General features: G+C 51.5%; 1 protein-coding gene across 19 annotated transcripts in view, besides 1 other annotated feature; it reads right to left on the minus strand.

Moving 5' to 3' along the window:
- DLG5 (discs large MAGUK scaffold protein 5) overlaps window positions 1-26,937 on the minus strand; it is a 149,946-nt gene that overhangs the window by 12,909 nt on the left and 110,100 nt on the right. For 14 of the 19 annotated variants that reach the window (XM_047425998.1, XM_005270276.5, NM_004747.4 and 11 more), the window contains 17 exons: window positions 26,518-26,645; window positions 25,656-25,831; window positions 25,183-25,286; window positions 20,685-20,777; window positions 17,383-18,402; window positions 16,196-16,319; window positions 15,622-15,766; window positions 14,078-14,190; window positions 13,308-13,397; window positions 12,852-13,002; window positions 8,516-8,678; window positions 8,225-8,358; window positions 7,395-7,535; window positions 5,848-6,031; window positions 4,097-4,245; window positions 3,059-3,229; window positions 1,966-2,162 (listed from right to left, as the gene is read on the minus strand). In XM_047425998.1, the coding sequence (XP_047281954.1) occupies window positions 1,966-2,162; window positions 3,059-3,229; window positions 4,097-4,245; window positions 5,848-6,031; window positions 7,395-7,535; window positions 8,225-8,358; window positions 8,516-8,678; window positions 12,852-13,002; window positions 13,308-13,397; window positions 14,078-14,190; window positions 15,622-15,766; window positions 16,196-16,319; window positions 17,383-18,402; window positions 20,685-20,777; window positions 25,183-25,286; window positions 25,656-25,831; window positions 26,518-26,645 (3,283 nt within the window). Of the gene's footprint in view, window positions 1-1,965; window positions 2,163-2,199; window positions 2,473-3,058; window positions 3,230-4,096; window positions 4,246-5,847; window positions 6,032-7,394; window positions 7,536-7,769; window positions 7,922-8,224; window positions 8,359-8,515; window positions 8,679-12,330; window positions 12,477-12,851; window positions 13,003-13,307; window positions 13,398-14,077; window positions 14,191-15,621; window positions 15,989-16,195; window positions 16,320-17,382; window positions 18,403-20,684; window positions 20,778-25,182; window positions 25,287-25,655; window positions 25,832-26,517; window positions 26,646-26,937 lie in introns of those variants that run through there. The other 5 variants (XM_011540346.3, XM_006718056.4, XM_047426002.1 and 2 more) reach the window with 5 other exon arrangements.
- Window positions 5,060-5,559: an enhancer, noted in NCBI's record as "H3K27ac hESC enhancer chr10:79568517-79569016 (GRCh37/hg19 assembly coordinates)". NCBI's record gives its function as "activates a minimal SCP1, AML or CMV promoter by ChIP-STARR-seq in primed H9 embryonic stem cells {active_cell/tissue: H9 hESC(primed)}" and the evidence as "EXISTENCE:reporter gene assay evidence [ECO:0000049][PMID:30033119]".

A 26,937-nucleotide genomic window follows, 5' to 3' on the forward strand; every position in this document is an offset into this window, starting at 1 on the left:
AAAGGAAGAATAGACAAAGGGCTATTTTTTAAAGACACTAGCACCACCGGACAAATGCCAAACATAATGGAGATGGCACCTACGGAGAAAGGAGCAGAGGGCACAAGAGTGGAGGCCAAAGAGAGTGAAGGAAAAAAAACAAAAAGCAAAATAAGAGAGAAACCTTGCCTTGAGTAACAGGTTGGCATTTTTTTTTTTTTTTTTTTTTGAGACAGGTTCTCACTCTGTTGCCTGGGCTAGAGTGCAGTGGCGTGATCACAGTTCACTGCAGCTCTTGACCTCCCAGGCTGAAGCTATCTTCCTGCCTCAGCCTCTTCGGTAGCTGGAACTACAGGCATGAGCCACCACACCAGGCTAATTTTTGTATTTTTTAGTAGAGATGGGGTTTCACCATGTTGGCCAGGCTGGTCTTGAACTCCCTGCCTCAAGTGATCCACCCACCTCGGCTTCCCAAAGTGCTGGGATTACAGGCATGCGCCACCATGCCTGGCCTAAACTTTTTCTATAAGGGGCAAGATAGTAAATATTTTAGGCTTTGAAGGCAAAACGGCAAAATTAAGCAATTGTTATCAGCAAAGGGCTAATAGACTTTTTTACATCTTACATTTTAAGAAGTGTAAAAACCCATGCTCAGCTCACAGACCATTTAAAAATAGGCAGTAGTCCAGACTCGGTCCATGGCCAATAGTTTGCCAACCCTTGTCCCAGCTGATAGTGACAGTGGGCCATGAACTACAGTGTGATCCACTGAACTCCCTAGGCCTAAGGTCTTCATTGTAAAAAGCGAAGAGAGGGAGGGAGGCAGCCAGCTGCCCTACACTCTGCTGCTCACTGCCACCCCCACACCTGATTGCCAGGGAGGGCACATTCTAGGACAGTAGACAGTAGACACACACCAGGGCCCTGGGAGCCACGTTCCTAAGGGCCTCTTGCTTTAAAGGACAAATGCATCCTTTCCACAAGGGCTGTCTACCAGGGGATGTCTGACATCTCCTATCACTCAACTCCAGCCCTGGACTAGCATCTTGCTCCATAAGGATTATACAAGACTTGTTCATGAACACAGGACTGAGGCCAGAAATGCCGAAGTTCTGCAGAAACCGACAGCTCTTGGTCACTACCAAGCAGCCTGTAAGAACCTAAAAACAAATGGCAAGCAAGGCACTCAGCAGAGATTGCTTCTTGCCTACCCAATAGCTATCCCTCCATTCTTCCTCAGTAACTGAACCTCTTACTGAGGCCAGCAATGCACCCAGCTAAAACATGCCTTTTCTTTTTAATTATTTTTTGAGACAGGATCTTGCTCTGTCACCCAGGCTGGAGTACGGTGGCGTGATCTTGGCTCACTGCACCTCCGCCTCCTGGGTTCAAGGGATTCTCCTGCCTCAGCCTCCCAAGTAGCTGGGATTACAGGTGCATGCCACCACACCTGGCTAATTTTTGTATTTTTAATAGAGACAGGGTTTCACCATGTTGGCCAGGCTGGTCTTGAACTCCTGACCTCAGGTGATCCACCCACCTCAGCCTCCCAAAGTGCTGGGATTAAACGTGTGAGCCACTGTGCCTGGCCAAAACATGCCTTTTTGACCTCTCTTGCACATGCAAGTGGACAATGAGATGCAAGTTGAAGTCACAGGTTAGGGCTTCCAGATAGCTGCTGAAAGAGGCACGCTCAGCTGAGGCACACTTCTGCCTTACCACTCCTTCCTTCCTCCTGCTGCCTGAAACAGGGACATGATGGCTGCAGCTGCATTGACAGGCGGTGACTGGGAGGATGGAAGCCACACCCCATAGATGTGGCTCTGAAGATGGCAGCACCCCCCGACCAAGCCGAACACACACCTTCAGACTTGCGCACAAAAGCAAAGTAAGACTCTCTTTTGTTTAAGTCCCTGTTGTGGAGCTCCTGGATCCACAGCAAGCCCCATCTGGAGAGCCCACTGGAAAATGAGCTCAGCCACTTGCCTTCAAAGAGTGGAATGGAGTCACTGGAAAAGGCATCCAAGGCGAGCAGGTCTTTCCCGTCCTTGGACCCGCTGCGTTTGTGCTTGTGTTTCCTCCGAAAAAAGGACCGGCGTGCAGCCGCTGACAGCGTCTTTGTGGCGCTATTGTCATCTTTGACTTCAGACATGCTGAGCCTCCTGGAGAATTCTTGGTCCATCCTGTGGCACAGGGGACAATGCTGGGCAGGGCCATCGAGACCCTGCTGCCCTGCCCTTCCTGCCCTTCCTGGTGAGAAAAGCAAAGGTGGGCCAGACACTGGGCTCCCCCCACACTCCTTGGCAGGTCTCAAGGCTACATCTCCTCCCACGCCCCTGGGAACCCTCGGTACATGCTGCGGGGGTGACACAAACACCAGCACCAGGGCAAGCTCTCAGAGCAGGCGATTTTTTCTACTACAGCATATTCAGCTCGGTGTCAAAAGGAACTGCTAGGACAGCCTTCAATTGGTGACATGACGAGTTACGCTTCCTGCCATAGAAGGGAAATGATGCAGGGATGCAGGCTGCCTCGAAAACATGCTCAGTGACAGGAGCCAGATGAAAGGCCACACTATGCAATCCCAACCACACAGAAGTCCAGACAGGGAGACCCATGGGTATCAAAAGTAAAGTAGTGGCTGCCTAGGGCTGAGGGCTGGGTGGGAGGACAGTGGGATAAGGGGCTGACAGCTAATGGGTCTGGGGTTTGTTTGAGGTGATGGAAATGCTCTAAAATTAACTGTAGTGGCGGCTGCACACACCTATCAATATGTTGAAAACCACTGAATGGTACACTTTGAGGGAGCGGCAAGGCACGAGTATCTCCATAAATCCATTTTTCTAAAACACGTTATGCCTTCTGACCCATCACTGTGCTCTATACAGCACTGACTCACACTAGGAGCAGCTTTTTAGACCAGCACTTTTGGCAAAATGTAGAGAGCAGAAGCTAAGATAAGAAGCAGAATCCCTCCTCCAGCAGCCCTGGCCCCAGCCCCCTCCCATGGGACAGCTCCATGGCTGGTGGCCCTCGGCGACCCCTGCCCCACCCCACCCCAGGCCCGGAGAACACTTACACATATTTGCTGGGAATCTGCCCGCGCTGGATCTTCTGGGCATTCTCGTCCAGCTGCCAAGCCATCCAGGACCCGAACGTGCCCTGGGGTAAGGTGTCATCCACGTAGAGGATGTCGTCCTTCTTAAAGCTCAACTCTTGCTCCACATCTGCCAGCCGGTCGTACAGGGCCCTGGACCACAGCACAGAAGGAACACGATCAGGCGGCTCTGGCCACCAAGGACGAACCAGGTGCCTTCTGTGGCCAGGCCCCTAAGGCTGCCATTCTGCTTTGGGCTGTCTCCAAACTTGATCAGGAATCGCCGAGGGTGGTGATTCTCAAAGTGGGGAGCCCTGTGTTTTACATAAAGGGGCAAAGACTGCCTTTGCTCCCCTAACACTGAGGGCGCATCCCCATCAAAGAACTCACCAAGATCTGAGGCCATAACTTCCCTTTCCAGGTGGCCTTTCCCAGTTGCCTCCCTCCTCGAAGCCCAGGCCCGGCCCCTGGTTCCTACAGACTGGAATCTCTCTAGGATGGAAATATGTCATCTTCTACCCTAGAGACAGGGAGTTGTACCGCATCAGTGTTCTCATGCTTTCTGTGATCTTGGATCTTAGGAAATGTGAAGAAAGCTCTGAGCTCCTCCTAGAAAGCCTGCTGCCATCCCTAAATGCCCACAGCATTTCATACAGTAGTAAGGGCACTGAAGATGCCTGGAAGTCCACACACACTGCAGAGGGATCTGCAAACCTGGCTTGGGGGACACCAGAAAAAGAGGAGCACAGCACACAGGAAAACGGGGCTTGACTGCCTCCAAATTCTCTAGGTCTTAAGCCCTAAAGAGGGGGCCCAGCTGGTTCTTTAAGCCCTAAAGGGTTGTTCTAAGTCACAATCATCTCAACATAAATAAGCGTGCAGATTGAGTGTCAAGGAATGATGATCATGGCCCCAGCCTTGGGGGGCAAGAAACAGAGAGCCATTCACCAGGAAAAGAGTCTCCAGTGAAAGCCTCTCCTCTGGTTCCAAATCTCCCACCGATTCCCCAGCCACTGGTACCTGATGTAGAAGCTGTCACCAGGCAGGCCCTTGGCCTTCGTGAACTCCTCAGGGCGGTACTGCACCTTCAGGCGGACGCCATCCCTGGGCTTCAGCATCTCCACATAGACTTCCTCCACTGTCTTGTTCCGCACGTCCAGGCTGCCATACTGCCAGGGATGGGGGTGGATGCATCAGAAGGCAGAAGCCAGGGGGCAGCTTGGGCACCCGAGAGGGGCCAGTGCTGACCATACGGCAGAAATTCAACATCCCTCCTTAACTGAGACTCTGGCTACCTCCCCTCTGCAGGAAGGACTGAGTCTTCATGGTCTCCCCAGTCTCCAGGTCCTGTGCATGCTCCCTGGACACCAGGTCCTCTGCCAAGTGGCTGCCCTGCCCTTGACAGCTTATCCAGGAAAAACCCTGTTCTGGTGACTGGCAAGTCTGGGCTTTTCAGAATAGGGACCTTCCTCTTGCTGATGTTGCCTGTGCTTTTATTTATTTATTTTCTGAAACAGGGTCTCCCTCTGTCACACAGACTGAGTGCAGTGGTGCAATCACAGCTCACAGTAGCCTATACCTCTTAGGCTCAAGTGATCCTCCCACCTCAGCCTCCAGAATAGCTGGGACAACAGGCACACTCCACCACACCTGGCTAATTTTTTTGTTTTGTTTTCTGTAAAGACAGGGTCTCACTATGTTGCCCAGGCCGGTCTTGAACTCTTGGGCTCAACTAATTCTCCCACCTTGGCCTCCTAAAATTCACAGGTGTGAGCCACCAAACCCAGCCCAACTTGTGCCTTTATATTCTCACAAACCATCTCCCCCATGAGGCAGGAGACCACAGAGAAAGACCATCCTCTCTCATCAGAACAGAGTCCTGCAGCTACATCACCTGAGGGCGAGCACCCCCTGATGCCCAGGGCCTGAGCCAAGGCTCTGCCCTCAGGTTCCCTCAATGGCCTGCCTGGCTTCACAGGGACCTCCTCAGAAGGGCTTGGCAGGATTCTGGGTTTACAGGGATTAAAAATCAACCCTGGCCAGGCACAGTGGCTCACGCCTGTAATCCCTGTACTTTGGGAGGCCGAGGCGGGTGGATCACCTGAGGTCAGGAGTTTGAGACCAGCCTGGCCAACATGATGAAACCCCGTCTCTACAAAAAATACAAAAATAAATTAGCTGGGCGTGTTGGCGCATGCCTGTAATCTCAGCTACTCAGGAGGCTGAGGCAGGAGAATCGCTTGAACCTGGGAGGCGGAGGTTGTGGTGAGTTGAGATTGCACCACTGCACTCCAGCCTGGGCAACAAGGGCAAAACTCTGTCTCAAAAAAAAAAAAAAATCAATCCTGAGGCTGGACACGGTAGCTCATGCCTATAATCACAGCAGTTTGGAAGGCCGAGGCGGGCAGATCACTTGAGGTCAGGAGTTTGAGACCAGCCTGGGCAACATGGTGAAACTGGTCTCTACTGAAAATATAAAAATTAGCCGGGTATCGTGGCACATGCCTGTAGTCCCAGCTACTCGGAAGGCTGAGGCAGGAGAATCGCTTGAACCTGGGAAGTGAAGGTTGCAGTGAGCTGAGATTGTGCCAGTGCACTCCAGCCTGGGCGACAGAGCAAGACTCTGCCTCAACAACAACAACAAAAGTCAGCCCTGACTGGCTCACCAGATGAGAGGCTGTACTCCTCCGTCTTTGGTGCCACCTGAGATGGCAGCAAGCCCACTGTGCAGGTAGATGGAGGCCTGGCCTGCTCAGCAGCTCAGAACTCACCTCCAGGATGAGGTCCCCTGGCACGAGGCCGTCAGGACCCTTGGCAGGACTGTCATCCTCCACCTCGGCCACAAACACCCCATGCAGGTTCCCACCACACAAGTGCACCCCAAGCTCCAGCTGGGACTTTTTGATGAAGACAACGCGTGGCTCCAGGGTCTTCTTGTTGGCATCTCCCGCAATCCTTTCAGGAAAAAAACAAAGTTCCTCAACTGTGCACAAAGAGGAGGCACAAAAAGACAAAGCAGTGGCCAATGCCCTAACCGCTTTCTGCCTGCTTCTTGGGGTCTCAGAACCACAGGGAGCTGAGAGGTGGCCTCTAGTTCTACTGGCTCGGCGTTCGGGACAGGATGCTAAGGTGCACTGGAGATGAAGGCAAGACCCCAGGTCCAAAGCCAGTTAGCGGGGGCAGTCAAAACCGTAAATCAGTGCCCCTGCTCCCAGGCCCGGCTATCAATCTCATGCCTTAAAGATCAGGATGGCCTCCCTCCCATGTGGATCACACTCATTTTCCTAACTTAGTACTTCCTAAGGAAAGGTAAAGTTGGCCTCACTGTCCAGAGCACAGCAATGTATTCAGCAAATGTCTACGAAGAAGCTTCTATAGACCAGCAACTGCTAACTTGTGAAGAGGGGCCCCTTGCCATCAAGGCACTTACAATCAAGGAAGGGAAGCTGAAAGTAAGCTGCTGAACACATGGAGGGAGTGAGATGGGACAGCGATGGAAACAGATACAGGGGGCTTCAGGGGAGATGCCAGCCCGGGAGGAAAACCTTGCAGCAGGTAAGTTCCAATGTGACAGACTCTGGTATAGAGAATGCAGAGCTGGCCTCATTCTGTGAGATGCTGCCCAGGGCTTGGTGAAGGCCTCTCAGTGCTGGAGACACAGCTCCTCCAGGACGGCAGAGTGATCATGTCACACCATGGCCTGGATGGCCCTCCCTGCAGCCCCAGGCCAGGCTGGACGCTGTGCAGCTCCCATGGAGCTCCTTCCTCCTCCTGAACTCTGCTGCTCCCTCGGCCTGGACTTCTCTTTATGCCCACTCTTGGCTCTTGCCTGTCCTGAACATTTTAATCCAGCTGCCACCTCCCCTGCCACACTCCAGTGATCTTCCTGCCTGCTCTGCGGCGGCCGGCAGTGCCCTCCCAGCACCCTGACTCTGCTGCACGTGCCCGGCACTGGTCTGCCACCTCATTGGGGGAAGCACTGCTGTGGGTGGCCAGAGCCCAGGGCCTGGCCGGGTGATGACTGTGGGAATGTGTCCAAAGACAGACTCAGAAAGCGAGTGAACAAGAAAAGGAGAAGAGAAAGAGAAGATGCAGGGGAAAAAACAAGTCAATAGAAAACAGGAGAAAAAGAGAAAGGAAAAGAGAGAGTAGGGAAGGAAAAAAGGAATGCCGTGCTCCCGGCCCAACTCCTGAAGACCTGGTGTGCGGCCTGCAGCACATGAGGCCAGCTGCCCAGTGCCCACGCCACTTGGAGAATGTGCTCAGCCCCACCCAGCCGAAGCGGACACAGGGAAGGCTCACAGCAACGTCTGCTGACCTGGAGCTGCTCTGCTTGGCTGGGGGGGTGCTAGGCCCCTCGTCCTGCTCCATCAGTGGGTCGATGACAGATGGATGCTCCGGGGTGGTGGTGCCACTGCCCTGGAGAGTGGAGTGGGTACCGGCAGGGTCCAGGTGTGAGCTGGAGGCGGAGGACAGGAGGGATAAGGAGCAGTACGAAGCCACCCAGAGCCACCCCCACTCCTGTGGCAACTAGATCTGAGCTATAAATGGGGACCAGGTCACATAGCCCTGCACCCTGTGCCCTGAGCAGAGCAGACACATTAGAAGCCTGGACCCATGACATCCACCTGTCCTCTCCCCTCCACCTGTCCTCAGCTCAGGGGCCCTCTCCAAAGGCATCTGACCTCAGGAAGCTGTGAGCATCCTGTCTCTTTTCCTCTGCCTGTGCATCCCATCTCTCCTGCTGAGCTTGTGGCGCAGCACTGCAGGGCATGCCTCCCCTTCTTTTCTGCCCTTCAACCCACAGCTCAGGGGCAGATACAGACAGGTGTACAGCATCTGCTCCTGGACAGGGAGCCAAACACTTTGAGTGAGAATCCACCCCCGGGGCCACAACTCCTGGCTACCATGGGCCCCTGCTGGTCAGGGGGACCACAGCCATCTGTTTCCACACCCCATTTCAGGAGGAGACAGCCTCTCTATATATGCCCCTTTTCCAAAATCCAGGGCTGGTCAACTCTCTCTTTAGCAGCAGTAGGATCCCCAGAACTTACGGCTGGCACCCTGGGTCTCCCTAAAATGAGCAGAGTGCTGCTGCACCCACCTCTCCACCCCCAGCCCAGACGGCCCTGGGAGGCCCGCACTCACCTGGACCGGGAGTGGCTGCTGAGCTGGTGCACGTGGGGGTTGTACTGGGCCAGGATGGTGATGGTATCACACTGCTGCCCGATGATGAGCCGCGCCTGCTGCTCCGTGGCGCTCCGCAGGTTTATGCCGTTGAACTGGGGAAACACCAGGATGGGCTCAGTGGGGGGGTCGGGGCTGTGGACAGGGAGGAGGCCCTGGGGACTTGGGAGCACTGCTGTTCCCTAGGAGGAGGAGAGGGGGAAGAAGTGCAGGTTTCCATGGGCGCCATGCAGGAGGGCAGCTCCCTCTCACCTCCAGTAACTGATCCCCATACTCGAGGCCAGCCTGGTGAGCGATGCTCCCCACGGTCACCTTGGAGACGTAGATGCCGCCCTTCTCTCCACTCACGATGGAGATGCCCAGCGGCTCTGAGCCCTTCTGCACCTTCACGTGGCGTGGCTCCTCCACATAAGGCCTAAGGAAAAGTCAAAAGTTTCGGGGACTCAGGGTCAAACAAAAGGGTTGGGGAGAGCCTGAGCTCTCTGATCAGGCATATGATCTGACAGTGCAGAAAGGGCCCCGAGCCTGGATGCTCCCATTGTGACACAGCTACATGGGGACATGGTGGGCCCACCCCTGTGTGACAAACGATCACATTCCCACAGCCTCACGCAACACGAGCACAGCACACGCAGACACGCAACCACCCAGGCCAAAGACACAGAGAACGGTCCGTGTGAACTATAAACACTGATACATGTGGATTTTCATTACAGGAGAGGAGCTGCCCCACAATATGCAATTACAAACTCTGGGGGGTCTTGAGATGCCCTCCGAGGAAAAGAGATGGCTCCTGGGATGACATTCCATCCTAAGGGGGCAACAGAAAATAATCCAGTTTTATGTTTACTGGCTACACAGAGTGATGCAAACTGGTCACGGAAATTAAGCTGCTGCAGACCCAAGCCTTTGTAAAGGGAGAAGGCTGGGAGCAAGGCTGCAGCCATGCACTTGCTGCCCTGGGGCTGTACAGTGCACCCAAGGGCGCCGGGGCAGGGGCTCGGCAGGGAGCCTCTGGGCAGGCCAACTGCATGGTGGAAGACCTGGGCCTGGTGGCCACGGGCAGCCTCAGAAGAGATCTGTGGTGGCAGAGACATCTGGAAGGTGACAAAGGTTAGAAAGAAGATAAGGGACGCTCAGAGGAGAAAGACAATCAGAGACACCTGGAACATAACAGAAAAGACAGTCAAGTGATGCGGAGCCTCCCGTTGGGACTTCACGCCACTCAGGGCTTCATTCCTCCAAGGTATGGACACCTGAGATTTTCCTCGCAGGATAAAACCATATAGCCAAAGGCTGAGGGGGCCAGTCCAGGTCCCCTCTACAGCACATGGTCAGGATAGATTCTAGCGGGGAGGCACCTAAACCACCCCACCCCGGCCACCTGGAGGCAGAGCAGCTTCCCACTTGGCAGTCTCAGCCTGTGGCCCTATGCCCCAGCCCTCTTGGGAAGGGGAAATTAAAATTCTTCTTGAGTTGTCCCTGCTCTCTCCCACCCTCCAAAGTGTTCCCACTTCCCAAACTTGCCCACTCTGGAAATCCTCCCTTGACCCTCCAGCTCAGACAGATCCACCCCAGACTACACCCACGGTCCCTTCCAATTCAACACGGATTACAGCCCCGTGCTGTTGAGAGCTGCAGAGCCCTCAGCACACAGCCACCCCTACATCACCCTCCTGCCCCAGCCTTAGATGATGAAACAGAGGCCCAGAGCAGAAAGAGGTCCACCTCCGTACAACACGTGTATCACAATAAAGGAGCAAGCAACTAAGTCACAGCAATAGCCACCCAATAGAACAATGATCTGAACCAGGTTCCCAGGTTCCAGTGACATGCAAAGACGTAAGGGACACACCACGGGGTGGGGAGGCCCGATCGGCATCATTTCACTTATATTTATCTGCATCTGCAAACAAAAGTATGTGTGGATTTATGCACAAGGAGGCTTCTTATGTAGGACATTACCAAGTGTTAACAATGGTGTCTCCAGTTGAGGGGATCTGAGCTAATCTTTTTTTTCTTTCTTTTTTTTTGGAGGCAGATTCTTGCTCTGTCACCCAGGGTGGAGTGCAGTGGCATGATCTCAGCTTGCTGCAATTCCACCTCCTGGGTTCCAATGATTCTCCTGCCTCAGCCTCTCAAGTAGCTGGGATTACAGGTGTACACCATCACGCCCAGCTAATTTTTGTATTTTTAGTAGAGACAGGGTTTCACCATGTTGGCCAGGCTGGTCTCGAACCCCTGACCTCAGGTGATATGCCCGTCTCAGCCACCCAAAGTGCTGGGATTACAGGCATAGGCTACCGCGCCCAGCCAGAGATAATCTTTACTTTATAGTCTTCTGAATGATTTGAATTGTTTGTAATATGCATAGAAGTTTTCTCTAAACAACAGCTGCTTCTCAAAAGAGGTTTATAAAGTATACTTAAACTATTAAAAATAGCTAAAAACATAATATTAAGGGAGATTTGATTATGTACATAAATAATAAAGCATGTTTATATATATATATATATATATATATATATATATATATATATATATCCAAAGGGTAATGGCAATTGAATCTCTTGTTGAAGAAATAATCTGTGACTTTTTTCTTCTTTCTACTTTTCTGTTTTTTATTTTTTGAGACAGAGTCTCGCTCTGTCACCCAGGCTGGAGTGCAGTGGCGCAATCTCAGCTCACTGCAACCTCCGCCTCCCGGGTTCAAGCAATTCTCCTGCCTCAGCCTCCTGAGTAGCAGGGACTACAGGTGCCTGCCACCGTGCCTGGCTAATTTTTGTATTTTTAGTAGAGACGGGGTTTCACCATGTTGGCCAGGTTGGTCTTGAACTCCTGACCTCCAGTGATCCACCTGCCTCGGCCTCCTTACAGGTGTGAACCACAGCACTCGGCCTTCTTTCTACTTTTCTATGTCTCTGATTTTCCATAACAAGTATAAAATACTGTACTTCAGAATCTGGGAAACGGGGCCATTTTTAAAAAGAAAGCTGTTGCTCAGTCAGGTCACACATGTCAAATTTCATCTCCAATCGGATCCTAACCACCGTGAGGGCAGGAGTCACTCACATTTTTCTCCCTCCTGGAGCAGGTCCTGGCTCTCCGTGCCCTGTGGGGAGCTAAGGGAATGCTTGGCAGTGGGTGGCAAGGCCTTTTCCACAACTGAAGAACCCACTTCACTTGGGGAAGGTCCCGTCCTCTCTGTGGCCAGGGCCGGGGCTGAGTAAAACAGGCCAGCATGCTCCTGCGCGTGCCACATGGTAAGAGCTCCGTCAGCATTTCTTCCGAGTTACACCCGATTCCCCTACTGGGGCCAGGCCTCTGTGTTTTGCTGTCCTTCCGTTACCCCTCAGGTTCTCTGGTTGGTTGCCTTTTAAGTTCAGATTTTCAAGTCAAATATAAGATTTTCTCTGGCTGGGCACGGTGGCTCACGTCTGTAATCCCAACACTGTGGGAGGCCGAGGCGGGTGGATCACCTGAGGTCAGGAGTTCAAGATAAGCTTGACCAACATGGTGAAACCCTATCTCTACTAAAAATACAAAAATTAGCCAGGCGTGGTGGTGGGCGCCTGTAATCTCAGCTACTCAGGAGGCTGAGGCACAAGAATCGCCTTGAACTTGGGAGGCAGAGATTGCAGTGAGCCAAGATTGCACCACTGTACTCCAGCCTGGGCGAAAAGAGCAAAACTCTGTCTCAAAAAAAAATATGTTTTCTTAACATAGGGCCCACCCCTGCTGAGGCTCACAGCTACAGAGGCCTCAGCTTTCTGGACTCAAATGAAAGAGAGTATCTGTGTTTCTTTTGGTGATTAAATAAAAGTAAGTTTATCAGAGCTCTTTAAGATCTACAATCTAGACAGAAGCTGTTAAATATAAACACAATCTAGTAAGTTCCATCTAGGGGAACAACAGAGAGGGATGTGTGTGCACAGTGCGCGGGGGTGACGGATTCCATGGAGGAGGTGCCTCTGGACAGACAGCAAGCCTACAGTCAACCTGAAACCTAAGATGGACCTACATTCTAAAATGAACCAGTACCAGTAAAAAGCTAGGCTGCACATTTATGCTTTCTTCCTGTGTATATTTTATTTCACAACAGAAAGCTTCGAATGAGAGGGAAAAAGCAAAGGGTAAGAATGAGTCCCGGTGCCAGCCACTAACCACGTGGCCACAGGTCTGTCACTCCAACGTCTGGATCCAGTTTCCTCAACTGTGAAACAGGGATAACAATAATAACGACACTGGCAGGGTCCCTGTAAGGATCTCGTGACTTAGCCACACGTAAAGTGCTTGAACAAGGGCCCAGGAAGGTGTAAATGGTGCCATGATGGCACGATCACCGTCAGGTCATTTCCAGCATCATCTACTGTGAGCCCTCTTGGCTCCCTGCCTTGCCATCCACACACGCCCCACCTCCCTGCATCCAGTGCCCCATGGCACTTACTGGTGACACCAGCAAATGCTGGGACACTCAAGCTACTCCTGCTGCTTCTACTAAGCCCCTTCCCTGCAGAGCCCAGGCCCGCTGCCGGGATGCACACTGTCCACTGGTTTACCCACTCCACCGATGACCGGCCATGCTCACCTGTCCTTTCTCCGCTCCCCGAGGGACGCGGGGTTGACAGCGATTCTGGGCAATGTGGAGGCTGAGGTCTGGGACTGGCTACAAGAGGACAGGGTGTCGATGTTCAGGGGTGACTGTGGAGGAGTGCTGCATTCAGAATGTGACACTGAACCTGCAGAGAGGAGCGGGTAATGCCGGTGTGAACTCCCATCTCACTTCCCCAACAGCCAAGACCAAGAGGCAGGTGCGATCCAGACACACAGCTCTATCCCCACTGCATCGCATAGTCTGGAGCTCAGATGCTAGGCTCTGCATTGCCCCCTACCCCCCACACCACCAGGCCTACTGCTGGGCTCAGTGAATTTTTACTGACTGACTGAGATGACTATGAAGTTCTCAGCTAAGCCCAGAGACTCCACCATGAGGAGTCAGACCGCAGGAAAAGCAGGAGAGATGGGAATGTCGAGAAGTCCTTACCTCTCTCGGAGCCCACGACACTCCGCGGATATCTTGGTGTTGATGGGATTTTAATGCGTTCCGCCTTGAACTGCAAGTTACTCGAAGAACCTATTGTTCCATAAGGGAACAAAACTTCAGGCCTCATGGTTAAACACCACCCTGTCCTTCCTCTCCACCAGGCTACCAGTCAGGATAATAAATGCAAAGCTGGGCCCTGCTGTTTATTCCCAAGGGAGCCTTGATATGGAACAGTCAAGAAAAGCAGACGTTTAACATTTATCTCAATGAACTGTGCAGGCCCAGACTGCTCCAGAACAGGAGCGCACAAGTCTCACTTCCAGCCACGGAACAGCAGCCTAAGAGACACGGCAGCTGCTCCATCTTTTCTCCCCAGCGCCAGAGTTCCCCAAGATCTCCATGGGCTACCTTTGTCCGACTCTCCTCTGGGGTTCACTTTCCATACAAAAATGTATGAAGAGCCATACAAAACAGTCCAGAATGAGGCCAACAACCTCAGGGACACAGAGCAAGGCTCCTAGCTGAGGGGTCACCTGAATGACCATAAGGCCCCCACAGAAAGCGGAAGGCGAAAGCAATGGCTCTGACAGCAGCATGGGCATGGCTGGCCCATGAAGGAAGCAGCCCTTCCCAGTAGAGAAATGAGCTCAGTCCCAGGAGGTGACAGGAGCTCGTGTGGGGAGCCCACCCGCAGATCTGGACATTAGGATGCAGGCAGAGATGAAAAGCTTGGCACCCTCTGCAGCACAAAGTCCAAGTGGTGCAGTTACCCAGGCGGGCGCTGGAGGGCAGTGAGTTGGACCCATGGGTGGCTCTCATCTCGGAGTAGTCGCTGCAGGTCCTGTGGCTCAGGTCCAGGCTCAGGCGTCCCTGGTGCTGGACACTGCGTAAAAACAAGAGGTGAGGAGTTCGGGAGGAGAACCAGGAACAGATGTGGCCACTGGGGAGAAACACACAGACCAGGCAAGGGTTCCCAAGCGGGCAGAAGGGAGGCCCAGGAGCCACTGATTATCAGCCGAGGATAGCAGGCTGCCCTCAGCCACTCCCGGAGGTGGCATCCACTAAGAGCCTTCAGGAAGTAGAAAGGGCCACACACATGGGGCGGTCAGTATCATACCCACTCCAGCCATAGGGTCAGGATTAGGCTCACTAGGAAGAAGTGATAAAAAACAGAGGTTTTGCAACCTGGGTGGGCCTGGGGAGGGGGAACCTGTCCTCCCAGGAAGTGGGTAAGGAGAGACAAGGCACAGAGGACTTTGGGGAGGGGACCTATGTGCCTCACTCGGGACAGCGTGCCTAAGAAAATGAAGGGCAGAGCAGGGATCGCCCACATCAGGCTGCCCTGAGACCAGGCCTCAACAGCATCTTTTTCCAGCTATGTAATGAGGTGACATCTCTTCCCTGCTTAAACTCTACAGTGGTCTCCACTGTCCTTAGAATAAAATCCAAACTCTTCATCACCGCTGCAGGTCCCACAGGGTTTGTGCCCTGTGACCTCAAACCTCTTCTTGACTCGCTGCCCCTTTGACAAGCTCCCACGACTGTGCCTGGGTGCCCTGGCCTTGGCACCGATGGCCCTTCTCCCTGGAGGCTCCAGCCCAGGTCTTGTGCAGCTGGCCTCTTTCATCCTTCTGGTCACAGCAGCATCCCCTCTGCCACAGGGCCCTTCCTGACCACCCACTCTAACTTGCCACCCTCTTCCAAGTTACAGCCCAGCCTGTCACCCTGTTTGACTGCCTTCATAGCCTCTTGGCACCATCTGATATCACTTCGTTCATTTTTTTTTTTTGTCTGCCTCCCACATTTGAAAAACCACACGACATGAGCTAGAAGCTAATTTGTTTAGTTCAGCAATGTATCCTCTTATAATTAGGATAGACCAAGGCATGTAGTAGGTGCTCAAAAAATATCTGTCAAATGAATGAATAAGAGTGGCTTGGAGCCAGCCCACCCTCTTATGAAGTACCAGTTTCCTCATCTTCAAGACAGAAACAGTAATAGGACTTAGCCCATGAGGTTGCTGTTGATTCGGTGAAATGATATTCATAAAGGTCTGAGCACAGTGGCTGGGACATAAGCACTCAAACATCAGCTGCTATCACTATCGTGTCCTTCCAGTACCTTTTGAAACCTTGTGCTGATGAATTCAGAAAGCAGCCCTAAGGCTCCCTTTCCCTGTGCTGCTCTAGCCAGTCCCCTCCCAGGCAGGCAAGGAAGCTTCTCCACCAATGAGCCTCTTTATGCACTCATGGTTCCATGTCCAGGCAGGCTTGGGCAGCTGGAGTACAGAGAAGCGTAGGGTGCCTTCACATACCTGGGATGCAAACCCTGGGGGCCAGCATCTCGGGCCGCAGGTGGAGAGCTGCAGGGGCCGACCCTGTGACTGCGCACAGTGTAGATGGGGTTCCGCAGGATGGAGCTCACAGTGGTGCTGGGGGTCAAACTCCGGGGAACAGTGCCTAGAAATGGGCTTGGTGAGAAAAGACGCCCCAAAGGACCCAGCCAGCCCAGGACTTACACAAGCCTTTCCCCTGTATCCCAGGACGCAGCCGCAGTCTTTTGGGAAAAGGACTTGGGAGATGAGTTTTAACCACCAATTCACAATGTGGCTGTGGCTCCTGGCCTGTCTCCATTTGTAAAAAGGGGGGAAGTCTCTTTCATGCTTCCTATTTCCCAGGTTGCTATGGGGAGAAAGCATGTTGACAAGCTAAGACATGTCATGGCTATAAGACAAACCATCCCAGACAGGACAGCATTTCCCAGTTCTCTGGACCTCAGGGCTGAAAACACATGGCAGCTCTCTGAAATGCTGCCTCCCCTCTCCCTGGAGACTAGGCATCCCGAGTTTACACCGACCCTCAGCCCCAGCCCCTGGCTGGCTGACTCACCCACAGACGGCCTGCTAGGGTATAGCGGGGGGTTGCTGTGCCGGCTGGAATGCCCAGGCGAGTAAGGTGCCCACTCCTGGAGCTCCGGGGAGAGTTCTCCACTGGCCGGGACACACTTCTGTTCCTGCAGATGCAAGGGCAAGAGTGTCTGCTAGAAAGAGTGGAGTGTGGCCAGGCGCAGTGGCTCACACCTATAATCCCAGCACTCTGGGAGGCCGAGGCGGGCAGATCACCTAAGGTCAGGAGTTCAAGACCACCCTGGCCAACATGGCGAAATCCCGTCTCTACCAAAAATACAAAAATTAGCTGGGCATGGTAGTGGGTGCCTGTAATCCCAGCTACTTGGGAGGCTGAGGCAGGAGAATCGCTTGAACTCGGGAGGCAGAAGTTGCAGTGAGCCAAGACTGCACCACTGTACTCCAGCCTGGGTGACAGAGTGAGACTCCATCTTAGGGGAAAAAAAAAAAAAAAACCAAACAGTGGAACGCTTGAGCAGCTCTGCAAGCCAGTTTCTGCCCCCCAGGAACCAGCTCCTCCCACTGGGGCACAGGAAGGGACATGAATGGGAACGCTGCCCATTCATGTTGCCTTACACATCTTCAAGGAAGCAGCTTTACTTCAGAAGAAAACCACAGAGAATGAATCTTTCACAGAGATCACGTAAAAGGTGAGAATGCACAAGTGCATCAGGCACGTACAACTCTGCCCGATGTGGAGGGCTGTGCGAAGCTCTTTGTCCCCAGTGAGCAGTGTGGACTGGTGCCTGAGATGCTTTCCACAGTCCCCAGCAATCTCACCCTTCTGGAAACTATGACAGCACACGCAATCAGGCCGTCCCGCTGCCCACTCAGCCTCACACGTGCCACCTCATCTCCCTAGCCCTTCAAGGCAAGTCTATGCCCTAGGTTTTATTGTGTAAGTTCAAAAGCTTCTTATTAAAAAAGCAAACCAAATGCTATGCCCAATAAAGTGTTCCCCTCTTGTGTCACACTCCCACTACCATGCACTTCCACGCCACTTACCTACCTCCTAGCTGGGCCACTTCCCACTTGAGTCCAACAGCAAAGGCAAAGGCACCAGGCTAAACAGGGGCCTGGGACACTGGTGCAGGGCCACTTAGCAGCCCTCCTTCGGCCAACTGCCCCTCTCTAGGCCTCCCCTCCCCACACCCTGGGGCTCAGCTATACCTCCAGGAACTGAGCAGGAATCACTACTGGAGCAAGCTTCGGCCGAAAACTGGGAGCAGATTTTGGCCGGCGACGCTTCTGCCCCAGCTCATCCACCTTCTGGGAGGTGAGGTCCTCATCACAGGATTTCTTGGCCGGCAGGTGGGAGGAGTCCCCATCTCCTTCAGGGTAGTAGCTGGAAGCAATGCGGACCCTGGCCTTGCGAGGGGGTGATGCGTGCATGGGCTCCCCGGGGTCCACGTCAGGGGGCAGGGCGCTCGGGGGACTAGTGGATGGGGAGCTGCCCACCAGAGTGGCTTCTGACTCGGAGCTAGTCTCCAGCCTGTGCTGGAACTTAATGGAGTCGCTCCTTCTGGGAGGTTTTGGGGGTGTCAGAGGCCCCGCCCTCTTGGAGGGCTGGGGAGAGTGAGCAGGCCCAGGACCTGGAAGCAGGTAGTCTATTTTGGGGGGTGTCTGGGGGCGTTTGAAAGTGTTAGGGTCAAAGATGGACTTTCTTTGCTTTGGCTTTTTATAAACAGAGAGCTTCTCAGGCACTGCCGTGGAGCTGAGCATGGCCTTGGGCCAGGTCCCGCCGCTGTTGGAGCCTTCAGAGTCTGCCTTGTCCAGGGAGGCCTCCCCAACCCCACAGGGGCCCACCTCGGTCTCAAAGGGCAGCAGTGGCCGCCGGCCACGCACGTCCACCAGCCCAAAGCCACGGTCCCCAGAGGCATCTGAGCGGAAGGAGCTCAGGCTACGCTCAGAGGCACTGGGACAGGCCTGGGGGCAGACCTGCAAGGGTCCCCCAGGGAATGGCTTATGCAGAAAGGAGCTGCTGCCTCCTGGGGGGCCTGGCTCCTTCCTGTCTTCCAGCCTGTCCGTGTAGAAGATGTCTGTCTGCGTGGAGTTATTGTGCTGTATCAAGTTCCGTTTGTTATGAGCCTGGACCTCCGGGCCATGGGCTCGAAAACTCAGCATCTTATCAGAGTCTTTGATATTTTCAAAAATGTTCTGGCCACTCCACGAGGAGCTCTGAGGGAATACCTAGGCAGGGATTGCAGAGGAGTGAGAGAGAGAGTGAGATGGCAGGACTTGGAGCTGCCACTGAAAACCATCCCCAGAGGTAAAGCAATGGTCAGGAATGGGCCACCTGCCCCTTAAAAAAGAGACAGATAGACAGAGATGCACACACACATGAACACATATGCTTCTCCCTAATGGATAAGTTTTCTCATGGCTCTGGTCACTCTGAACTCAAAGAAGAGTCAAAGTTTTCTTAACTTTGAACACTTTCTGAAATTATCTGGGCCGGGCACAGTGGCTCATGCCTGTAATCCCAGCGCTTTGGTAGGCTGAGGCAGGCGGGTCACGAGGTCAGGAGTTCGAGACCAGCCTGACCGATATGGTGAAACCCCATCTATACAAAAATTACAAAAATAAGCCAGGCACGGTGGCATGCACCTGTAGTCCCAGCTACTTGGGAGGCTGAGGCAGGAGAATCGCTTGAACCCGGAGGTGGAGGTTGCAGTGAACTAAGATCACGCCACTGCACTCCAGTCTGGGCGACACAATGAGACTCTGTCTCAAAAAGAAGGAAATTACCTGCATAATGTCTTGAATATTTTTTTTAAATATTAAACATAAAAGTAAAAATTCATTGTTAAAAATATATCTCTTGTGGTACACCCAGACAACGGAATATAAATTAGCACTAAAAAGAACTGAAACAACGTGCAGGAACCTTAAGTGTATATTAGCAAATGAAGAAGCCATTCTATACACTCTGTGATTCCAACTCTATGGCATTCTGGAAAACACAAAAGCATGGAGGCAGTAAAAGGATCAGTTGTTGCCAGGGGCTTGCATAAATATGGGGAGCATAGGGAATTTTTAGAGCAGTGAAACTACTCTGTATGATATTACAATGGTAGTACATGTCATCACCTGCATCAAAACTCACAGAAAATACACCAAGACTGAACCTTAATGTAAACTATGCATTATAGTTAATACTAATGCATCCACATTGGCTCACTAATTATAACGCATGTACTAACTACACTAACGCAAAATGCCAAAATTGGGGAAACTTGGGGACAGGAGTGGGGATGGTGGTGATGGGGTGGTTGAGAGAGTGCTAAGAATTCTGTATCAGCCCAACTTTTCTGTAAACATAAAACTGCTTCCAAAAAAGTCAAATAATTTGAAAATAGTTAATTTAGAAAACATCTCTTAATAGAAAGTTAGAAAAAATAGGCCCAGCCATTTCATTAAGAGATGTTTTCTAAATTCGGCCTATTTTTTCTAACTTCCTATTATTAAACTTTTCAAATATGTAGAAAAGTATAATAAATGTCCATAAATGTACCATCTAGATTCAAAAATATTTCACTAAATTGTCTTTTTGTCTATAATGATACTACAGAACACTGGAAAGCAAGTTACAAATATCATGACATGTCACTTCCCTTCCTTTTTTTTTTTTTTTTTGAGACAGAGGTTCGCTCTTATTGCCCAGGCTGGAGTGCAAAGGCGTGATCTCAGCTCACTGCAACCTCCGCCTCCTGGGTTCAAGCGATTCTCCTGCCTCAGTCTCCTGAGTAGCTGGGATTACAGGAATGCACCATCACATCCGGCTATTTTTGTATTTTTAGTAGAGACGGGGTTTCTCCATGTTGGTCAAGGCTGGTCTCGAACTCCCGACCTCAGGTGATCCACCCGCCTCCCAAAGTGCTGGGATTACAGGCATGAGCCATTGCACCCAGCTTCTTCCTTTCATTTTTGAGATAGGGTCTCACTTTGTCACCCAGGCTGGAGTGCAGTGGCACAATCACAACTCACTGCCACCTCGACCTCCCAGGCTTTTTGTATTTTCTGTAGAGGCAAGGTCTCGCTGTGTTGCTGGGCTCAAGTGATTCGACTGCCTTGGCCTCCCAAAGTGTTGGGGTTACAGGCATGAGCAACCATGCCCGGCCATGACACATCACTTCTAACAACTTTAGCTTGTACCTCCCCCAAATAAAGCCATTCTCCTGTATAACAACCCCAATGCCATCATCATACCTAGGAAAACTGGCAACAATTCCCTAAGATCATCTAATTATCGGGTCCAGATTCAAATGTACCCAACTGTGCCCAACATGGCCTTGACTGCTGTTTTTTGATTTCAGACCAGCGTCCAGTCAGGGTTCCTGCCCCCTCTGCACTCAGTAAATGCCCACCCTGTTCTCAAGGATCCTGTGACCCCAAGGAGTAGCATGGCTATGTGGAGCCGGGGCTCTGCCCATACTCCTGACCGTGAGAGCAGAGCCAGGTCCAGCCCTTACCTTCAGGAGGGACAGGGTCAGGGAGTCCTGGCAGCTGCGCAGCAGAGATTCACATTCATTCAGAGACTTGTTGTCCAGTGCAATGCCATTGATCTAGAGCAGGACAGAGAGCATGTCAGGCCACAGGCAGAGCGGCCTCAGGCCTACCAGTCAGGATCTCTGCCTACCTAACCTCCTGTGCTAGACAGTCACCAAATGCAAGGTGCCAAAGTCAGGAGTTGGCAAAGGATAGAGGTCTTTCTGGTGAGGCCCAAGGAGTCCAACTAAGGGGATTCTGAGGTAGAGGAACACATAAGCCTTCACAGCAGGCTAGGGGAGGAGCATGTCCTTCTGGGATCAGAACACCGAGGACCCGGAGGGAACATCTTGGCACTGCTGTGCCCGGCCATGTGGCGTGGGACCTTGGCTCAGAACTTCCCAGCTCCTTGCCTCCACAGAGGAAATGGAAGATAAATACATGCATGTGGCTCGGGAGAGCGGGGGACTAAAAACAAGACCATGGATAGGAAAGGCCTTGTAGAGAAAGTACCACGCGAAGTGGGGCCCTGTGAGTGTTCACAAAGAACCTCTCAACCCTGCTCCCGGAATCTCTGCTCACAGCTATGTGCAGACCTTCTTAAGAAGTATATGTGCAACCGGTGAATGACCAAACTGTGATACACCCACATTGCAGAACACTGCTCAGCAACGATAAGTAACAAGCAGCCAGCACACGCAGCCTCTTGGGTGGATCTTGCAGGCATGGTGCGGAATCAAAACAGCCCAGCTCCAAAGGTCACATACTATATGATTCCATGTCTGTAACATTCTCAAAAGGACAACATCACAGAGATGGAGAAAAAATCAGCTGCCAGGGGGCAGGGATGGGAGGGAGCAGGGGGTGTTACTACAAATGGGCAGTGGGAGGGAGACCTCAGTGCTGATAGAACAGCTACGTATCTTCATTACGGTGGTGGTTACACAGAACAACATGTGTTTAACCACACACAACCACACACACACACACACACACACACACACACACACACACACAGTACCAATGTCAATATGCTAGCTTTGATATTATACTCATGCAAGGTGCAACCATGAGGGGAAGCAGGGAGAAGAGTACATAGGACCCCCCTGTACTATCTCTGCAGCTTCCTATGAATCTATAATCATTTCAAAGTCAAGTTTTCTTTTTTTTTTTTGAGATGGAGTCTCGCTCTGTCCCTCAGGCTGAAGTGCAGAGGCATGATCTCGGCTCGCTGCAACCTCCGCCTCCCAGGTTCAAGCAATTCTCCTATCTCAGTCTCCCGAGTAGCTGGGATTACAGATGTATGCCTCCATGCCCGGCTAATATTTTTGTATTTTAGTAGAGATGGGGTTTCATTGTGTTGCCCAGGCTGGTCTCGAACCCCTGAACTAAGGCAATCCACCCGCCTCGGCCTCCCAAAGTGCTAGGATTACAGGCGTGAGCCACCATGCCCGGCCAGTCAAGTTTTCTTTTTAAAATATCTGCAGAGTGATTATCTGGAAGTAGTAAATTAATTTGTGGTTTTTTCCTTATAACATATCCACATTTAAAAAATTTTCATAGTGGCCATATAGCTTTTACACTCTGGCTCCCCAAAAAATCTGAAAAACATTGGCAAAGATGTGAGGCAATGAGTTCCCCCACACACTGCAGGGAGGACTGCAAAAGCCATGACCTTTTTGGAGCAAAGGGGGAAGATCTCGCTGGATGTTAAACATTCATGTCCTCTGACCCAGCAAACCCCACCCCCAGGAATGTACCCCAGGGCACACTCCTGGGTCCCTATGAAGTAGCATGTCAGTGGCCATGCAGCACGACACAGATGTAAGTAAGGGCAGAGATGCCCAGACTATCCCTCGGGAGGGACTGGTCAACAACTTAGGCTGCTGCCACTAAGGAATGACACGCAGTTATATGCCTTGGGGCAGATCTAAAGACGTGAATGTGGGCTGGGCATGGTGGCTCACACCTGTAATCCTAGCACTTCGGGAGGCTGAGGGCAGATCGTTTGAGGTCAGGAGTTCAAGACCAGCCTGGGCAACATGGTGAAACCCCCATCTCTACTAAAAATACAAAAAAACTAGCAGGGCGTGATGGCACATGTCTGTAATCCCAGCTGCTCAGGTGGCTGAGGCAGGAGAATCACTTAGACCTGGGAGGCAGAGGCTGCAGTGAGCCAAGATCACGCCACTGCACTCCAGCCTGGGCAACAGAGTGAGGCTATCTCAAACAAAAATAAAAACAAAAAGACATGCTGCTAAAATCTGGCTGGGCGTGGTGGCTCACATCTGTAATCCCAGCACTTTGAGAGGCCAAGGCAGGTGGATCACCTGACGTCAGGAGCTCGAGACCAGGCTGGCCAAAATGGCGAAACCCCGTCTCTACTAAAAGTACAAAAATTAGCTGGGTGTGGTGGCGCATGCCTGTAATCTCAGCTACTTGGGAGGCTGAAGCAGGATAGTTACTTGAACCTGGGAGGCGGAGGCTACAGTGAGCCCAGATCACACCATTGTACTCCAGCCTGGGCAACAGAGTGATACTCCATCTTAAAAAATAATAATAAAAACAAAAACAAAAAGCAAGATGAGCAACTGAGTATATTATAATCCCATCCAGGTTACCTCAACCCCCCAAAAATGTGTGAGATGTACATGTTTTGAAAGTGTCTGGGACATAATATAATAAATTGTTAACAGTGATTGCCATCGGGGTGGGAAGCAGTACACAAGAGGTCTAGCCAGAGGAAGATTTGTTGTCACGATTTGCCTTTTGTACTACTGGAATTTTGTATGTATGCCATGAAAAAGTGTATGGCATTTTCAGTTTTTGTTTTTTATTTATTAGAGACAGGAGTCTTGCTCTGTCACCCAGGCTAGAGTGCAGTGGCGCGATCTCGGCTCACTGCAACCTCTGCCTCCCAGGTTCAAGTGATTCTCCTGCCTCAGCCTCCCGAGTAGCTGGGATTACAGGCACCCACCACCAAGCCCGGCTAATTTTTGTATTTTTAGTAAAGACAGGGTTTCACCACGTTCCCCAGGCTGGTCTCGAACTCCCTACCTCAGGTGATCCACCCACCTCGGCCTCCCAAAGTGCCATGATTACGGGCGTGAGCCACCGTGCCCCGCTGGCATTTTCAATTTTAAAAGGTCAGAAGTATTAAATTTGCATGTCCTATGACTCAGCAATCTCACGGCATTTGTAGCTTAGTCTCAGAGATACCATTACATGTCTCCAGAGGCTCTGTGCACACAGGTAAAGTTCAATGCAGGACTGTTTGCAATTGCAGACCCTGAAAACAACTTCTATGTCCATCAATAGGTGGATAATTTAAACTACATATAATCAAACAACAGAATACCATAAGGTGGGTAACATTAGCCAGGCTACACTTGGAAAGATATCCAAGGTAGGATGCGAATTGCAGATCCCATTACTGTACATAAATAAGCAAAACAACACCAAGAAATCTATCTAGGTATATATAGATTTGTAGGGGCACATATGGTTTGGGCTGAGTGCTTATCTTCTAAATGGGGGCAGGGACAATCTCTAGGAGCAGGATTAAAGGGGGAAGAAAGGGACTGCCACTTTTCACTTTACATATTTTTATATTGCTTGGCTGTTTTACAACAAACAGGACTTACTTTGGTAACAAAAAAATTTAAAAATAAGTATTACATTTAGTTAAAAAAAAAGGGGTGGCATTTAAAAGTCACAACACAATGATGTCAATTTTTTTAATTGTCCTTGATAAACATTCATGAGAATGTTAAATGTAGAGAACTACATTTAAAATGTTAATAAAGCTGGGTGCTGTGGATCATGCCTGTAATCCCAGAACTTTGGGAAGCCAAGGCGGGCAGATCACCTGAGGTCAGGAGTTCAAGACCAGCCTGGCCAACATGGTGAAACCCCATCTCTACTAAAAGTACAAAAATTAGCCAGGCATGGTGGTGCACACCCTGTAATCCCAACTACTCAGGAGGCTGAGGCAGCAGAATCACTTGAACACGAAAGTCAGAGGTTGCAGTGAGCCGGGATTGCGCCACTGCGTTCTAACCTGGGTGACAGAGCAAGACTCCATATCAAAAAAAAAAAAAAAAAAAAAAAAGTTAATAGAGGTTATCTACAGGTGGTACCAAAGCAAGTGGTTCTTATTTCCCGCTTAGGCCTTTGGAGGTTGCAGTGAGCTGGGATTGCGTCACTGCACTCCAGCCTGAGGGACAGAGAGAGATAGAGAAAGGTTATCTACAGGTGGTAGCAATGCAATTGATTCTTATTTCCCTCCCAGACCTTTTATTTCCTAATTTTCTACAGTAAATAGAAACATACCATCAAGAAACCTATTTTTAAATGTTCACATAGTACAATGCCCACAACAAGGAAAATATAAAAACTTTGCTCATTACTTCTTGCTCAAACCTCCCAAATGTAATCTGCCTATGCACGGCAGATGACCCTGGCTCCAGCCTTGAGACTTACCGCAACGATCCTGTCTCCCACAGCAAGGGACCCTTCTTTAGCGGCAGGGCTTCCAGGCAGCACAGCGGCAGCATACACTCCATTCTCCAGACTGATGCCACTGTCTGCAAGCCACAGGAGGTCACTGGGTAGCCCCTGGCCTCGCTGCCCAGCCCTGGGTCACCCTACCTCATCTTTGTTACCATCTTCTTACAAAAGAGGATGTCAGCAGGCTGCGCCCTGTCTACGCCTGCACCCTGCCCCAGTCCCACCAATCGGGGGCTCAGTTACATCTACCCTGGTGAATCAAACACTCAGAAAGCAAGACTCAGGGCCCAGACCACCTCTTGCCAGAAAAGCACATGGGCTACATTTAAATGGCATTGGCCCCTCATCCCTGTGAATGAGGTGCTCTAAGGGGCACCCCCGGCCCCTGTCCACAAAAAAGGGCCCCAGCCACCTGAGGCACTCTGCCATGTTCACAGGCCCGCTACCTTTCTGTCCACTGAGGTTGATGTGCAGCGGCGTGACCACCTTCCCACCCAGGGACTTCCTCCGCCGCACGACCATGTTGATGGCCCCCTCCCCATTGAGGAGCGCCTTGATGGCCTGCTTCTTGTCCTTGTTGATGAGGTCCACATCGTTGATTCTCAGCAGCCAGTCATTGACCCTGAGAAAGGGCACAGCCAGTTCAGCACCCACACAGGCTGTGGGACCAGCGGCTACCGCCCACAACTCTCACTCAGGGGGCTGACTGCCAAGGAGTGGGTGCCTCACATACACGCTCAGAAAATCTCCTCTTGCAGGAGTGCACAGTGGTGAAATTTGCAAATGCTGAGGTTAGACAGCCTGGGTTCAAATCCTGGCCCTACCACTTACTAGTTGTATGACCTAGCCCCTCCAGGCCTCAGCGTCTTCATATGTAAAATGGGGGCAATAATCACGCCTACCTTGTAGGATTGTAAAGATTAATCAATTAATTTCTATAAAGTGCTTAAACCAGTACTCAGCAAATAGCACTGTAATAGTGTTAGCTATTTTATCATCATGACTATTTCCCTGAATGAGCATGCCATGTACATCCTGGGCTCTCACGCATACCCCTTGAGCACTTTCCCACCCAAAGGAGCAAAAGACAGTACCTGGTAACTAAAGAATAATCAGATTCAGAGGCAACTGAGAAGCACTGTTTCTTTCGGAGCATTATTAGCTGCTGAGACTGCAGGCCTTGGACAGACTGTGTGTGAGTCTAAGGCTGGGAAACGTTCACCTAAGTGCTACCTGGCTCTCTTCGGGTCCTCTGCACTGGGAAGAAGGGCCCCACCTTGCCTCCAGAGCCTGGGCCTCAACTCTTACCTTAAGCGGCCATCAGCAATGCTTCCTTTGTCCACTTTAGTGACAAATATGCCACAGTCCCCCGGGAAACAAGGCTCATTCACACCTTCTGCCATATCAAACCCCAGTGCCTTCAAGTCAATATCCTCCTGCAAAAACAGCAGCAACAGCAACGCATTTCACAAAGCAGTGACAGAGACATTTGGCTCTTAAGCCCCGAAGCTGCCCACTCCAATGTGGGGGACTGTCCCTTCACCTCATCTGATAAGACACTCCATCCCCAGGATGGAAACCTATGAGTATCTGCAACCTGCCCCTTCTGGCCACTGCAGACAGACATCCCTGTCAGCGTCCTCCGAGGACCCTGCCCTTCCCCAGCTGCAACCCAGCCTGGACAGCTGCTGGGAAAGGATGCCTCACACTCCTGGGAGGAAAAGGAGA

Source organism: Homo sapiens, chromosome 10 (genome assembly GCF_000001405.40).
Source record: "Homo sapiens chromosome 10, GRCh38.p14 Primary Assembly".
Lineage (NCBI taxonomy): Eukaryota > Metazoa > Chordata > Mammalia > Primates > Hominidae > Homo > Homo sapiens.